We start from the raw sequence: 16,937 nt of genomic DNA, 5'->3' as shown, positions 1-16,937 counted from the left end.
TCCCCCTTTTACAGATGAGGAAACAAAGCCACAGTAAGTTTCAGTAATCTACCCAAAGTCAAAGGGGAAAGGGGGTGCAGGGGAAAGGGGGTGCCAGGGCTGGGATTCAGATTTAAGCTGTCTGGATGCAGAACCATGCACTTAACTGTCATGCTACACCGCCTCTCAGTCATGATGGTAACAACCCCAGTTGCAGCCTGCCTGGTGCTGGGGTGAACAAATGCAAGATGCCGCTGTTGCATTTCAGTCTCATGACCACTCGCCAGGTGGGGGCTGTCACTGTCCCAACTCAGCAGAAGTGGAGATGGGCACTGAGAGGTGGGCTCCCTTGCCCAAGGCCCCTCTGAGCCAAGTGTCCTTCTGATGGCCTGCCCAGCTTTGTTGAGACAGCCGTATTTCTTGGTTCTTGCTTTAGGTCCTGTGGAAAGACAGGCCCAATTGCAGGATAGATGGGAGGTTGTTTTGCTATGAGCATGGCTGTCAGTAGCTGTATGGCAGTCCTCACGTTTGCCCTGCAGGTGGCATGGTAGAGGTGTGCGACCCTGGCCTGCCTCCTGTCCCTTCTTGACAGACCTCCCTGGCATTTCTAGAACTCGCTCCCTGTTAAAATCCTCTTGACCCCAGGCCTGAGCCCCAGACCTTTGGCCTGCTTCCCTCTTCAGGATGGGTCCTGCCACTCCCAGCCTTATGTCAGGACCCCTCCACCCTCATAGCTCATACTCCATCACCCTGGAGCCTCTCCCTCCCTCTTAGAACTCCTCTCCTTTTGGACAGAGCCTATGCTCCCTCTGAGTTCTGCTGGCGCCGCATCCTCTCCAGCCTGGCTCTCACCCTCTCTGCCTCCCTCCCTCATGCTCAGCCACCCAGCCTCTCACACCTCTGAGCCTTGCACTCCCCCTCTTCAACCCCCTCACCCCCTCCAACACACACACACCCCAAACATTTTCCCACCCACTAGCTCTGCCGGGATAATTCCTACTCACCATGGGCTTCGGAGGGCCCTTCCCTGACTCTGCACCATCTCAGGGCCTCGTTATAAATCTCTGACATGAGCACCTGTGTCTCTCTTAGGCCATCGATCGATCATGGAGCTAAATCTGCTTCCCTGCCAGGCTGGGAGCCCCAGCAGTCAGGGCGGGGTCTGGTCTGCTCCTTCTCAGTGCTGTGGGGGTACAGCTGCCTGGGTGCACATCCCAGCTCTGTCCAACCTTGGATTCCCCCTCTCAGTTCTTGGAAACCAAGGCATGCCATTCACCACAGACCCTCCTAGTCCTCCCAGGGGGTGACAAGCACTGTACCTTTTGCATCCTGCTTAGCTGTATGCTTTTTTCCCAGAGGGAGAGAAAGACTCTGGGAGTTCTAATTTAACTAAATTCAATTTAACTGTAGCCATGTGCTGGGTCTTTTGACATATGTCATCTGGTGAAATCCTCATTACAGCCCTGCAAAGCAGAAGTTATCAACCCATTCTACAGATAAGAAAAGCAGAGCACAGAAAGGCTGAGTTTTCAAGAGATCACACAGATGTTAGGCAGTGGGGCTGGACTTTCAAGCTCTGGGTTTTGTGATTCAGAAGTCAGGACTTTCTTCCTTTTTCATAGCTTGGTTGATTCCTTTCTAAGCACTTATGAATCACCTGAGGTGGGCTATGGCAGAGCTGTGAAGATGGACTCACCACACAGAGAGCGTGCAGGGCTCAGTGGCTTGTGCAGTGAGCGGTGAAATAGAACAGCACCTTTCCTACGGTTCCAGCAAGCTGGGTTCTGCTCCCTGAGAGGAATTGCATAATCATTAAGGTGTTCCGAGTGGAGAAGGAAAGGAGGCTGTTACAGGCTAGATTGTGTCTCCTCCATCCCCATTCATATGTTGAAACCCTAACTCCCAGAACCTCAGAATGAGACTATATTTGGAGACAGGGCCTTAAAGGGGTAATTAAGTTAAAATAAGGCTGGCAGGGTAGACCCTAATCCAATCTGACTGGTGTTCTTATAAGAAGAGGTGATTAGAACCCACAGAGAGATGTTAAGATGCAGGAATAAGAATGTGAGGACACAAGGAGAAGGCAGTCACCTTCAAGCCGAGGAGACGGGCCTCAGAAGGAGCCAGCCCTGCTAACACCGTGTTATTGGACTTCGGACCTCCATAGCTATGAGAAACACATACTGTTTAAGCCACTCGGTCTGTAGCATTTTGCTATGGCAGCCAGGAATCCTCCTGTAGGATCTGACATGCCTTGGTCTGAGTGCTTGCAGCTCATGTTTGTAGTCAGGTCATCTTTTGGAGATTTGCTGAAAAAGCAGTTTTTCAAGATGAACTCCATGTGTGGGAGGCCTTCTAGGGCACCTCCGCATCCGGCGTCCCTGGTGAGCTCATGCGTGAGTCCTTTTGTGGCTCTTGGCAGGGCTGCCTCCATCCCTAACTCCGGTGGCTGCTTGGTTGCCATGGCGACAGCTTCCTCCATCCTGAGAGCAGGCTCCTGCCGAGACATCTGGATGAGCCTCACTGTGCTCGGTGAAATCGGTGGAGCCCAAGGCTGCAGCCCTCTTTCTCATGGATCCCTGCTCTGCACCCAGCATCCCCCTTGCTGAGGACACAAGCCAGTCCAGCCAGCCTGGCATCAGGGTCCTTGGGGTGCCCACCCCATGGGGAAAGCTGCAGATGGTGTGGAAATGCGTTTACTCCAGAACAGTGGGAGGAACGCTGACTGGAAGTTAGGGAGCCAGGATTTCAGTCCTTACTCTGCCAGGGCTCTGCATGTGGCCCTGGGCAAATCACTGCCCACCCTGGGCCTCCCTCTCCTCCTGGGTGGGGTTGGCACATGGGCAGTTCCTGCCTGCAGGGGTGGACTATTTGACTGGTCTGTGCTAGGCATGGCTCTCTGGGGTTATTACCATGTCTCAAAGTTCAATTACTTGCTGTGGTTTTTAGATTAGCTTGTCGTGGGATCTCCACTGGGGCCCATCATGAGGTGAACCAGTATTTGCACACTGCTTTTGGCGTTTGTGGAGTGCTTTGCATACTTGCTTCTCTCTTGAGCTCCTTGCCAGAACCAACCAGTGATGCTTCTTCATTTCACATACCTGGCTATATTTCCAGTCAGCAGAGATTTGCCCTGTAGAGGAGCGAGCAGCCCTTGGTTCCTGTGCCCACCTTACAGGAGAGGACGACCGGGGGGCAGACTGGTGCAGCTTAGCTGCCATGGCTCCTGGAGGTGCAGCCACCTCCTCCAGCCTCACGTGGGGCTGGTGTGGCTGAGCTCGCGTGGCTGGGCTCCAGGAGAGCAGGCTGTGCCTCTGGTAGCAGGAGATGAAGGAGTTTCTTTTTTTTTTTTTTACAGGTGAAATAAATTTTAATGATAAAATTATTTTAGTAATAAAAATCTTAATAATAAAATGTATTTAACTAAATATACCCGAAATATTATCATTTCAACATTGGCACTAGCTACATTTCAAGTGCTTTTTTTGTTATTTAAGTTCTAGGGTACATGTGCACAATGTGCATGTTTGTTACATAGGTATACATGTGCCATGTTGGTGTGCTGCACCCATCAACTCGTCATTTACATTAGGTATTTCTCCTAATGCTATCCCTCCTCCATTCCCCCACTCCATGACAGGTCCTGGTGTGTGATGTTCCCCGCCCTGTGTCCGAGTGTTCTCATTGTTCACTTCCCACCTATGAGTGAGAACATGTGGAGTTTGATTTTCTGTCCTTGGAATAGTTTGCTCAGAATTATGGTTTCCAGCTTCATCCATGTCCCTACAAAGGACATGAACTCATCCTTTTTTATGGCTGCATAGTATTCAATGGTGTATATGTGCCACATTTTCTTAATCCAGTCTATCATTGATGGACATTTGGGTTGGTTCCAAGTCTTTGCTATTGTGAATAGCGCCGCAATAAACATACATGTGCATGTGTCTTTATAGTAGCATGATTTATAATCCTTTGGGTATATACCCAGTAATGGGATTGCTGGGTCAAATGGTATTTCTAGTTCTAGATCCTTGAGGAATCACCACACTGTTTTCCACAATGGTTGAACTAGTTTATAGTCCCACCAACAGTGTAAAAGCGTTCCTATTTCTCCACATCCTCTCCAGCACCTGTTGTTTCCTGACTTTTTAATGATCGCCATTGTAGCTGGTTTGAGATGGTATCTCATTGTGGTTTTGATTTGCATTTCTCTGATGACCAGTGATGATAGCATCTTTTCATGTGTCTGTTGGCTGCATAAATGTCTTCTTTTGAAAAGTATCTCTTCATATCCTTTGCCCACTTTTTGATGGTGTTGTTTGATTTTTTTTTTGTAAATTTGTTTAAGTTCTTTGTAGATTCTGGATATTAGCCCTTTCTCAGATGAGTAGATTGCAAAAATTTTCTCCCATTCCGTAGGTTGCCTGTTTGCTCTGATGGCCATTTTTTTTTTTTTTTTGCTGTGCAGAAGCTCTTTAGTTTAATTAGATCCCATTTGTCTATTTTGGCTTTTGTTGCCATTGCTTTTGGTGTTTTAGTCATGAAGTCCTTGCCCATGCCTATGTCCTGAATGGTATTGTCTGGATTTTTTTCTATGGTTTTTCTGGTTTTAGGTCTAACATTTAAGTCTTTACTCCATCTTGAATTAATTTTTGTATAAGGTGTAAGGGAGGGATCCAGTTTCAGCTTTCTACATATGGCTAGCTGGTTTTCCCAGCACCATTTATTAAATAGGGAATCCTTTCCCCATTTCTTGTTTTTGTCAGGTTTGTCAAAGATCAGATGGTTGTAGATATGTGGTGTTATTTCTGAGGCCTCTGTTCTGTTCCATTGGTCTATATCTCTGTTTTGGTACCAGTACCATGCTGTTTTGGTTACTGTAGCTTTGTAGCATAGTTTGAAGTCAGGTAGCGTGATGCCTCCAGCTTTGTTCTTTTGCTTAGGATTGTCTTGGGAATGCGGGCTCTTTTTTGGTTCCATATGAATTTTAAAGTAGTTTTTTCCAGTTCTGTGAAGAAAGTCATTAGTAGCTTGATGGGGAGATGAAGGAGTTTCTATAAAAACCTCTGCATGCCCGAGGACTATACGGGAGGCCTGTGTGGATCACACCTCCTGTGTCCTCGGAAGGGATGGCTGCAGACTTCACTCTTGGGTGGAAGAAACCCCGCTTTGCTGACTCCCCCAGGTGCAGGTTCTGAGCTCACAGGGGTGGTCTGAACAGCTGGGGGCACCCAGCACCCCTACCCCCACCCACCAGGGTGAGGAGCTCCTTGTACTGTGGATGGGGGACCGGGATAGGCCCACCTGTCCCTCCAGGGCTGCACTTGCTCCATCTGACATTGAACCTGGGCCTGTGTGCAGTAAAGAAGGGAGGCTGTGTGACCCAAGCAAGACTGCATCGCCTCCTGTAGGCCTGGGGCTGTGGGCGGCAGGGCAAATCCACTGTGCGTGGGGCTTTCTGTGCACATAGCCATCCTTTGTTTAGCTAGCACCTCTGGCTGGTTTTCTGTTACAACAGCAGAGTTGAGTCCTTGCAGTTTCGATAGAAATCCTACGTCTGGCTAGGCCTGAAATATTGACTCTCTGACTCTTTGCAGAAAACACTTGCCAACACCTGTGAATGTTGGCACTGGAAGGAAAAGGGGGTCCATTTCAAGACATGGGGGGCTGAAGCCAGACAACTGCCAGGTCCCCGGGCCCCTCCAGGGACCTGACAGCCCCTCCTTGCCCAGCACCTCGCTGTCCCTGTCTCATGCCCATGACTGCAGCTGTGACTTTCTCCTCCTGCTCCCTGAGCCTCAGATGACACAGAGTCCAGAGAGGCTGAGACTGACCCGAGGTGCCACAGCAGATGAAAGGGGGATTTGAGGCTGGGACCCAGGGTCCCACCTGACAGCCTTTCCCTGCCCAGCACCTCGCTGTCCCTGTCTCATGCCCATGACTGCAGCTGTGACTTTCTCCTCCTGCTCCCTGAGCCTCAGAAGACACAGAGTCCAGAGAGGCTGAGACTGGCCCGAGGTGCCACAGCAGATGAAAGGGGGATTTGAGGCTGGGACCCAGGGTCCCACCTGACAGCCCCTCCCTGCCCAGCACCTCACTGTCCCTGTCTCATGCCGGTGGCTGCAGCTGTGACTTTCTCCTCCTGCTCCCTGAGCCTCAGATGACGCAGAGTCCAGAGAGGCTGAGAGGCTAGCCCGAGGCTCCACAGCAGATGAAAGGTGGATTTGAGGCTGGAACCCAGGGTCCCTGGCAGCCAGGCAGAACAGGCCGCAGACCTTCTCAGCAGCTCACCTACAGAGCGCCCACTCTGAGCCTGGTCCTGTTCTCAGCGCTTCACGTGGACTACCTTACCCCATCCTCATCTGGGAGCTGCAGAGTGCAATTGCCCTTCTGAAGTTGGGGAAACCGAGGCACAGAGAGGTTCAGAAACTTGCCCAAAGACACATAGCTAGCAAGCGGCAGAGCTGGAGCCACCCCCAGATGGTCAGGGGGCAAGGATTGCACTCTGGAGCCACGGAGGGCGTATGGAAGACTCTGGAGCCCAACTGAGTCCCAGGCCTGGTCTGACCCTTCTCTCCTTGTCCCTGAGCAATTGGCTTCTCCTCGCCGAGCCTCTGTTTCCAATGTAGAAGGGGCACACCTCACTCATGGAAGGCAGAGGGGATTGGATGAGCTACAGATGCGAAGCTAGTCCCACCCAGCCAGCCGGCCGCACGTGTTAGCTGCGACAGGTACTAGGTGCTTGGCTGGGGTTTGGGGGATATAAACAGTAGAACAACTTTGCCTAGTCAGGTGAATGACACAAGCAGGTCAGCCAGTATTTGCAACCTAAAAAGATCTCGCTCATGGGCCTTGGAGCAGGTGCAGTGGAGACCAGAGGAAGCAGTGTAGGAACAAGTTCTTCCTGATGGACTTCACTGGACCCGCAGCACGTGTGACGTGCTTCCCAGACCACAGTGCTCTTTTTTTTTTTTTTTTTTTTTTTCCAGGCAGAGTCTCACTCTGTCACCCAGGCCGGAATACGTGGCACGATCTCAGCTCACTGCAACCTCTGCCTCCCAGGTTCAAGTGATTCTCCTGCCTCAGCCTCCTGAGTAGCTGGGATTACAGGTGCCCACTACCACGCCCAGCTAATTTTTTTTGTATTTTTAGTAGAGTCAGGGTTTCATCATGTTGGCTAGGCTGGTCTCAAACTCCTGACCTCAAGTGATCCTCCTGCCTCAGCCTCCCAAAGTGCTGGGATTACAGGCGTGAACCACCATGCCCGGCCAGCACAGCACTCTTGCGTTTGTACCGCAGCAGCAATACTTTCAACACGCTGCAGGGGGACGGCTCCTTTGAATGGCCTTTGTCAGTGACGATCCACTCCTAAAAAACCCCTCACACCCTGGGGCCTCCTTGACCATGCCTCTTTTTTTTTTTTTTTTGTGCTTTCTGTGGCTTTCTTTTTTCTTTTTTTTATTATACTTTAAGTTTTAGGGTACATGTGCACATTGTACAGGTTAGTTACATATGTATACATGTGCCATGCTGGTGTGCTGCACCCACTAACTCGTCATCTAGCATTAGGTCTATCTCCCAATGCTATCCCTCCCCGGGAGTTGAACAATGAGATCACATGGACACAGGAAGGGGAATATCACACTCTGGGGACTGTTGTGACCATGCCTCTTATCTCAACTTTAACAGCTGCTTCCCCTTGAGATGGTTTGCAACCTCCTGCCCCCTGAGCCCTGATCAGAGGGGACCACAATGGGCTGATTCATTCATTCAGTCAGCAACTACTTACTAAACACCTACTGTGTGCCAGGCACTGAAGGTGCAGCAGCAATCCTGACAGGCAGGTCCCTGCCCTCGCTGGGGACAGATAGCAACAAACAGGCCAATAATGTAATAAGCAGTGATTAATGCTTGCAAAAAGAGAAAGCAGAAAATCTATAATTAAACAAGGTAAAATAAATGTTTATTTTGAGGGGCAGAGGAGATTTACAGGAGGTTACTTTGTTAAGGAGCATTGAGGCAGGGATCTGAAGGGCATGAGTGTGAGGGCCCTGCAGTGGGAATGTGCCCAACACGACCTGGGTTGATTGGACACCTCCTCCGTGCGCACAACCTGCAGCTTCTTCTAAGGGGCAATGGGGCCTGGCTGTGGGGGGCTGTGGGCGGAGGAACCCAAGCTGGATTCGCAATCACGCACCCGGGCTCAGGTATCAGCTCTGCTGCTCACTGACTGTGGAACCCTCTGAGCCTGTCTCTGGACCTAAGGAAAGCAAAGTGGAGCACCAGCTGCCTTCTGCACCCTGTTAGTGTGTGTTGGGGTGGGGGTGGGGGGCAAATGACCGTGAACAGAGTTTCTAAATTGGAAGGGCTGTTCCCAGGGAAAGGTTCAGAGTCGTCTCCCCATCTAATATTTGCCCACGGATCAGTCATGCAGCGAACATGTCCCAGGCACCAGCTCTGGGCAGGTCGTGTGTGAGGGGTGTGGGGGCACGGAGGTGAATCAGGAGGTGGAGCTGGCCCTGGAGCCGACTGCAGGGCGGGACAGATGGTCACATACACAGCACAATGGTCCTGAGGATGAGCAGACGGGTAAGGCCTTGCCTTGGTGTTCAGGCAGAGACTAGGAATGCTCCGGCAACTTCGAACTGCTGGATATGGCTGGCGGGTATGGAGGGAGAAGCGGCCAAGGTGAGACTGAGGAAGAGCAGGCAGGGGCAGCACGCTGGGCAAGTCCGACCTCCTCGGTGGGGTGGGAGAGGCCAACACGCAGGGTGGTGGGGAGTCCCGCAGCTGTTTGAGGAAGTTCACTCTAGCTGAGCTTGGGCACGGACCCCCATGGGGACAGAGATGCTGATGGCCTGGGCTGAGGGGCAGAGCGCAAGGGGTTCAGATGGAGGAACCCCAGGACCTGAAGGCTGGCTGGACAAGGGAAGGGCTTAGAATGAGGAAGAAGCCCCCTGATGCCTGGCTTGGTGCCCCAGGGCTGGGGATGAGGAAATGGGAGTTCTAGAGAAGGAGCGGTGTGGGGGCTGTTGGTGTGGGGGGCTGTCGGTGTGGGGGGGCTGTCGGTGTTGGGGGCTGTCGGTGTTGGGGGCTGTCGGTGTGGGGGGGCTGTCGGTGTGGGGCGGCTGTCGGTGTTGGGGGCTGTCGGTGTTGGGGGCTGTCGGTGTGGGGGCGCTGTTGGTGTGTGGGGCTGTCGGTGTTGGGGGCTGTCGGTGTTGGGGGCTGTCGGTGTGGGGGGCTGTTGGTGTGTGGGGCTGTCGGTGTGGGGGGCTGTCGGTGTTGGGGGTTGTCAGTGTGGGGGGGCTGTCGGGTGTTAGGGGCTGTTGCGTGTTGGGGGCTGTTGGTGTGGGGGGTCTGTCGGTGTGAAGGGCTGTCAGTGTGGGGCTGTCGGTTTGGGGGGGCTGTCGGTGTGGGGGGCTGTCACTGTGGGGGGGCTGTTGGTGTGTGGGGCTGTCGGTGTGGGGGGCTGTCGGTGTGGGGGGTTGTTGGTGTGGGGGGGCTGTTGGGTGTTGGGGGCTGTCGGGTGTTGGGGGCTGTTGGTGTGGGGGGGCTGTCGGTGTGGAGGGCTGTCGGTGTGGGGGGGCTGTCAGTGTGGGGGCTGTTGGTTGGGGGGCTGTCAGTGTTGGGGGGCTGTCGGTGTTGGGGTGCTGTCAGTATGGGAAGGCTGTTGGGTGTTGGGGGCTGTCGGTGTGGGGGGACTGTCGGTGTTGGGGGGCTGTCGGTGGCTGCCCATAGCACTGGCATTGCGTCTGCTCTTATTTCCCAACTCCCAGGAAGCACCTTGGGTGGGTTAGTGTCCTGTGGCTGCTGTGGCAAATTGCCATAACCTTCATGGCTTCAAAATACAGATATATTCTCACCGTCCTGGGGGCCACAAGTTCTCAATCCAGGTGTTGGCAGGGCCGTGCTCTCTCTGAAGGTTCTAGGGGAGGAGGCTTCCTTGTCTCCTCCAGCTCCGGGGCTCCAGATGTTCCTGTAGCCATCGCTCCCATCTCTGCCTTTGTCTCCACATGGCCTTCTCCTCTGGTGTCTCCTCTTCTGTCTCTTAGAATGTCACTTGTCATTGCATTTAGGGCCCACCTGGGTAATCCAGGGTGATCTCATCTCAAGATCTTTAACTACATCTGCAAAGACCCTTTTCCCAAATGAGATCACACTCCACAGTCTCTGGGGATCAGGATGTTATGGACACATGCTATGCTGATGTATTTGTGGGGGCCATTATTCAACCCACTGCAGTGGAGAAAAATAGTCTGTGCTCAGTTGAGGCATATGGGATTGAAGAGCGATTTTACCTTCTCTCCTTTTCATCCTCTCTGCATAACTTGCTCCTCTCTCTGGAATTCCTACCTGTGTCTGACAAACTTTTCTTGCAGGGAAAATGACTCTTAGATGCTAGAGTGTGATTGGAAGGGAAACAAATCCCACCAGACAGTTGGAGTGGAATTAGATGGGAAAACAGAAGATGAATAATTCAAGCAGCTTTGCCAGGGGAAAGGGGACTCTTAAATGAGCCTAATTATGCTTGTTCCCAAGGGAGGCCAGTCCTGAAATGAACCTTGTGAAGCAGTTTTTCAAGCAGGATTTAGGCGGGTATCATGAAGCTGGGGTGGGGCCACCTGCGGTTAGTCCTGGAAAGGAAAGGGCCCAGGCCCTCATTTTGCAGATGGGGAAAGCAAGGCTTGCAGAATGGAAATGATGTTCCAGTAACAGCCAAGACCAGACGCCCAGCCGGGGGCCCCGAGTGACAGCCAAGACCAGACGCCCAGCCGGGGGCCCTCAGCTTCTGACCTGGTGCTGGTCCTGCCTAAGTTAAAGCCACCGAGTGTGGTCACTGGGCCAAATGCTTCAAAGTCTACACACGGGGGAGGGCATGGTGTGGGGCAGAAAGCTGTGTTCACGGTAGCTGAGTTTGGGCATAATTCTCGTGCTCCGGAGGCTTCTCCCACAGCTACTTCCCTTGTCAGGAGTCCATCTTCAGGGCCCTGTGTTATGATGGATTGAGGGAGCACCAACAGGGGCCACCCCACTTGGTAATTAATTCCTTTTGTAAAGGGCTGGGCTGCAGGCCCGGGTAGGTCCTATGGCCACCTGAGCCAAGGTCTTGGAGAGGCGGTCGCACGGACCAGGTGACCATGGACCCAGCCCGGTGCCCACACCGTGAAGGGTGCTGTGCTGCCCAGAGGTTCTGGGCACGGCTCTGGGCCCTGGGATTCAGAGGCTCGGGACTGCTTGCCTCCCCACGGAGATCTTACCGTGGGGACCCTGTTGTGGAGGGCCTGCCGCATTGGCCGTGACAGTGATTTTTCTCCTTCTGCAGGGTGATGTGGATGCAGGGCCTCTGTGTCTCACATGGTTGTTTCACAGCAGCCACCGTATCCGAAGACAGAGAGAAAGAGCAGGAGAGATTCCCCTGTGATGGCTCCCCCATGGGTCCTGACCCAGGTTTGGGAGACTTTATCTCCCCAAAGCCAGGCCCTCGATCCCTTTGCCTTTGGGGACTCTGTGTCCCCAGCCTATACATGGGGTGCTCGATTGAGTGTCCGTGCCCCTCAGCCGGCCCTGGGTTGCCGTGGCTCGGGTGTGTTTGCCACAGGGCTACAGACCTAATGGAGCCCTGCATACTTTTATTAATTAATTAATTAATTTATTTATTTATTTTTGAGATGGAGTCTTGCTCTGTCACCCAGTCTGGAGTGCAGTGGCGCGATCTCAGCTCACTGCAACCTCTGCCTCCCCAGTCAAGCGATTCTCCTGCCTCAGCCTCCCAAGTAGCTGGGATTTCAGGCATGTGCCACCACGCCTGGCTAATTTTTTTTTATTTTTTATTTTTAGTAGAGACGGGGTTTTGGTATGTTGGTCAGGCTGGTCTCGAACTCCTGAGCTCAGGTGACCTGCTCGCCTTGACCTCCCAAAGTGCTGGGATTACAGGTGTGAGCTCTGGTGCCTGGCCTCCTACATACTTTGAAAAGTTCTGAAACATCCCCAGGTGGGAAAGGAAAGAGCGTTTGGGTGGACACTGAACCTGTCAGGGGGCTCACGTTTTGCAGTGGTAGCAAACAACCTGAAGGTCTCCAAGGCCTCAAACACCCACTTCACACCTCCCACTCACGCTGCAAGTGTGGCCGTCACAGGCTGGCTTTGGTGCGATCTCATTGCGGAGGGAACAGTGTCACAGCAGACCACGTGCTGGCTCTCAAAACTTCAGCCTGGAGGTGACATGCCTCACTTGTCTATTCATTGGCAGAAGCAACCAGCCTCTGGCCACTCTGGGTTCTGAAAGGCCGAAGGAGAGGTCTCCCCTTGGGAGAGAACCTGGAATGTTCAGAGAACCCCCTGGGTGTCAGCATTTGACTTCATCCCACCGAGTCCTCCTGCACCCACTGCGCCCCATGAGTTATAACCCCAGGAAATACAACGAGAATGAGTGTCCTGATGACGCAAACAGAACTCCTGTGGGACTCACGTTCCTGGGCGCTTCTGTTGCCACCAAGCCTCCTGTGGCTTTTGTGTGTCTCAGGGTGTGCAGAGAGAATGTAGCCCCTCTCTGCCCTGCCTCTCTACTGCACATTATCCATGGGCCGTCGCACTAATGTGCGTGACATTTCATCAGTGGCCGCACTTTTTCTCTGGATCCCACTTTAGTGAAGTTCAGTAAGGACCTGAGAGCTGCTCCGAGCGGGCAGCGTGTCCTGGAAAGCCATGGGAGGCATTCGGCCTGGGAGGGCTGGGCTGCCAGGTGGACGCTGGAGAAATCAGCATGGCAGGAGGAGGGCTCTTTTCTTGCTTGGCCTTCAGTATCATTTTTCATTATTTAATCGCTGCTTCTTTTCATACTGGAAAACTGTAGTTTCCTGGGAAACCAGCCAGGCAGTGATGCCTTAACTCATTTTTCCCTCTCTTTCTATTTTTATGTGATTCTCAGTTTGTGGTTAATGACGTGCTTCCGGGAAGCAAGATTTGAGCACGAGCACAGAGACCCTTTTAGGTGCTTTCTGACTGCACAGATCAGCCATTTTTTTCCCTGGCATTTTATAAACCCTCGGGTTTAGAGAGGTCAGAAAATACTGCTTGCTTGCTTTTTTTTTGACAGAGTCTTGCCCTGTCACCAGGCTGGAATATAATGGTGCGATCTCGGCTAACTGCAACATCCACCTCCCAGGTTCACGTGATTCCCCTGCCTCAGCCTCCTGATTAGCTGGGACTACAGGCATACGCCACTACTAATTTTTTTTTAGTAGAGATGGGGTTTTGCAATGTTGGTCAGGCTTGTCTCCAACTAATTTCTTTTTGTATTTTAGTAGAGACGGGGTTTTACTGTGTTGGCCAGAATGGTCTCGATCTCCTGACCTCGTGATCCGCCCGCCTCGGCCTCCCAAAGTGCTGGGATTACAAATACTGCTTTCTTACTGAGAGAGGCAGCAGCTTGGGTGGAGGAAGAGGGAGGGCAGATGGATTTCAGAGTTTCAGTCAGTATTTTCCAGATAGAAAATAATAAAAATGGAAACTGACATTCATTGAGCTCTGCAACGCATCAGGCAGTGTGTGAAGGGCTTTGCCTCTGATGATCTTCACAGCGAAGTGATAAGGCTATACTGCTGACTCATTTTACAGATGAGGAAGCTGAGGCATGGATAGCTGGGAACTCACTCAGGGTCACACAGCCAGGAGGTGACAGAGCTGGGATTCAAACCCCAGACCTTCCAACTCCAGGGCTCACATGCACCTGAAGAGTCAGAGGGAACAGACCGTGCAAAGCCCCATGCAGGGCCGGGGAGACCGGAGCCTGAGGTCATTGCTGTGAGAGGGGAGAGGGCCTTTCTGTCAGGGTGATGGGTGGGATCTGAAGCTGGAAAGCCGGAGAGAAGCTCGGGGGTGCCAGTCCTTGCATGCTCCAAGAGATTCTGATCTGCTGCTGGGCAGCAGGGAAGGGATAGGAAAAGAGCAGGTGCTGGGGCCGGGGAGGTTGTGAGGCTGAATCCAGCCTTACCAATCACACCTGGGCCACCCCGGACGAGTTGCTCATCTTCTCTGTGCTCTAGTGTAACAGTCAGGGATACTGCCTTTGCAAGCAGCAAAGTTCTTGACTCTAAACAAAAAATGGACATTTATTGGCTCCCACATTTAGCAGTCTGGGGGGAATGGCTTCAGGTGCAGCTTGATCCAGGATTCCAATGGCATCACCAGATCTTTCTCTGCACTCTTTCCACTGTCTGCCCCACCCTCAAGCTCCAGGGTTTCTCCTTGTCCTGGCAGCAGATAGAAGCTCCTTCTTTCTACACCACCCAGCACAGCAGGGGTGACCAAGCTGCATCCCAGCCTTTTCAGTATTCCAAGTCCTGGGGTCTGGAGAGCACAGATCAGAGCCGAGGTGGGGCCGACCCAGAAACCCAGAAGAACCTTTGCCCAAAGGAGAATCTCCATACTGTGGTCAGAAGAAGGGGAGCAGGTGCCGGGGGCAGGAAGGGGAGCTCCCAGATGCCCACACACTCAATTCCAGACACAATTTGAAAAGGGACCGGGAAGACTTGAAATCATTCACCAATAGCATCCACTGCCCAGCATGCAGTCGGCACAATATAAATGCTCTTTTTCTTCTGCTTGGCAACCAACAGGGGAAGGAAGGCAGAGGAGAGGGGCTCCACAGGTCAGTGCTATGTGTGGCTGGAACTGATGCACCCTCACTGGGGTGGGGTGCAGGTGAGGGGGGCCGCAGGTCAGGAGGGAAGTGGTGGGTCCAGCTTCATGGGAACAGGGGACAGGCACCTAGAAGGGGTAGCCAGCAGGCAGTTCACCATGCAGGTCTGCAGCTCAGGGGGACGCATTTTGAGGGTCTCAGGAACAGAGAGGCAGCTCAGACGCGAGGGTGGACGGTTTTGCCTCGGGAGAGGTGTCAGAAACCTCCGGGAAGGCGGAGCATTGAGGGCGCCCTTCACTGCCCCTTCCTTGACCGCACTGCCCCCAGACATCGTGGACATCAAGCCGGCCAACATGGAGGACCTTACGGAGGTGATCACAGCATCTGAGTTCCATCCGCACCACTGCAACCTCTTCGTCTACAGCAGCAGCAAGGGCTCCCTGCGGCTCTGCGACATGCGGGCAGCTGCCCTGTGTGACAAGCATTCCAAGCGTAAGTGCCGGTGCCTGGGGGTGGGGGGCTGTGCATTGGGCAGGCGGGCGGGTGGGATGTCCTGTCCTGGTGCAGCTGCTGCAGGGGTGGTGGGTGTGGGATGAGCATGTCCTGGACTGGCCAAGGTGGGTGGGCCCATTGCTGCTTCAGCGCTGGCTGGTCGGGGAGCCTGGTCTTGCCACCTGCTGCCCCCCAGAGTCCCTGCACAGCCAGGAACAGCCCAGCTTTTAGGGTTCAGGGCTCTAGGGCGAGGGTCAGGGCATCCAGAAGGTAAGGAGGCACCAAACTTAAATGTCACCTCCTGTAGGAAAGCTTCCCGGCCTCCTACTTTAGATCTGGATCCTCCTCTGTGGCCCTGCAGCCCCCAAAGCTTCCCTCTTCCAAAACTAGCCACACCCAGCAAACTTGCTGTGGGCTGCCCATCTTCTCCGGCTCCTTGGAGCAGGGTCTGTAACATGTCCCCTCATCCTAGAACCCACCACAGGCCTGCTGTGGGGGTCCCACAGGGGTATCCGTGGAGGTCTGGGGCTGAACGAGTTCCAGGGGACATTTTGTGACACAGCAGCCCCCAGCATAACAGCTCACACTGAACACTCACTCTGAGCCCAGCCCTTACCAAGGGCTTTACCTGTGAACTCATCGAATCTTCACACAAGCCCCAGGAGATGCTGTTCAGAAGAGGAAACAGAAGCTCCAGTTATTGGCCCAAGGTCACCCAAATTCAATCGTGGCAGAGCTGGGCTGCCTGGCACTGGGTTGTGGCCATGGGCTGCACACTGCCACAGCCATCCCAGAGGCCCCTGAAGGCGAGGGATCAGGCCACGGCATCCTCCTTCCCAGACAGCCCTGCAGGGCTAGCAAGGGGCCAGGCAGGAGGTGGGGTGTCCCCCAGGCAGAGGGCAGGGACTTTGCTTATCTGGTTCCCCTCACTGTCTGTCCCCAGCACCTACCACAGTGTCTGGAAATAAACACTTGTTGAATAAACCCCAGAGGACCCTGACTGAAGCCTGGGTGCCGGCGGCAGAGGGCTGTTTGGGAGCGATGGGGCCACACTGTTCCCTTAGGGTGTCTGGTTTTGCTGGGCAGTCAGAGACAGGGTGCACACCAGCCCCAGGACTCAGGCTCAGGGCCCACCAAAACCTCCAGCTTCTGCCTCCTTCCTTGGCCAAGTTCTGGCCCCCACATCCACCCCCTCATCTCCTCTGGGTTTGTCCACGCTCCGTGTGTCACGCTCAGCCATCCAGGCATTCAGTAGGCGCCTATTCCTGGCATGGGTGTGCAGCAGAGGCCCACCGTCGGGAGCTGGCGTCTGCGGGGGAGACAGACAGTGAACACACACCTGACGCATGTCAGGGCATGGTGAGCAATGGCACCAACACCCACAAAGTCAGGTACAGGGACAGAGGGGGTCAGGGAGGGCCTCCCTGAAGAGACCACAGTGGAACGGACACCCTGAGGGGGTGGGTGGTGCCGATCTCTGGGGAAGAATGTTCGAGAAGGAGGGCACTGCAGTGGCCGTGACTCCACACATTGCCTGTAGGTCAAGGGAGGGACTGGGTTTTGTTCTGGCTGAGCTGAGAATGAGAAGCTGTGGGTTGTCACGAGATTGGGACTTGAGGAGGAAGAGGAGACGCCGCAGAGGGTCCCCGGGGGAGCAGGCGTCAGAGGTCGCTGCAGGGTCTGCAGGAAGAAATGGTGACCCCACTGAGGGGGTTGTTGGGAGGTGGGGCAGGGCTCACCTGGCTGCCCCCTCTGGATGTTGCTTGGAGGTCGAGCTTTGCCTTGTGGGGCGTGACTCTGTGGTTGGTTTGAGCTGTGGGTGAAG

At 53.7% G+C, this 16,937-nt stretch overlaps 1 protein-coding gene across 9 annotated transcripts in view; it reads left to right on the top strand.

The window, feature by feature from the left end:
* PPP2R2C (protein phosphatase 2 regulatory subunit Bgamma) overlaps nucleotides 1–16,937 on the top strand; it is a 243,219-nt gene that overhangs the window by 200,842 nt on the left and 25,440 nt on the right. For all 9 annotated transcript variants that reach the window (XM_047415891.1, NM_001206994.2, NM_001206995.2 and 6 more), the window contains one exon: nucleotides 14,948–15,112. In XM_047415891.1, the coding sequence (XP_047271847.1) occupies nucleotides 14,948–15,112 (165 nt within the window). The remainder of the gene's footprint in view (nucleotides 1–14,947; nucleotides 15,113–16,937) is intronic.

The sequence above is a fragment of the Homo sapiens genome, chromosome 4 (genome assembly GCF_000001405.40).
Source record: "Homo sapiens chromosome 4, GRCh38.p14 Primary Assembly".
Lineage (NCBI taxonomy): Eukaryota > Metazoa > Chordata > Mammalia > Primates > Hominidae > Homo > Homo sapiens.
Note: the sequence above shows the minus strand (reverse complement) of the source record. Positions and strands in the feature narration are given on the sequence as shown.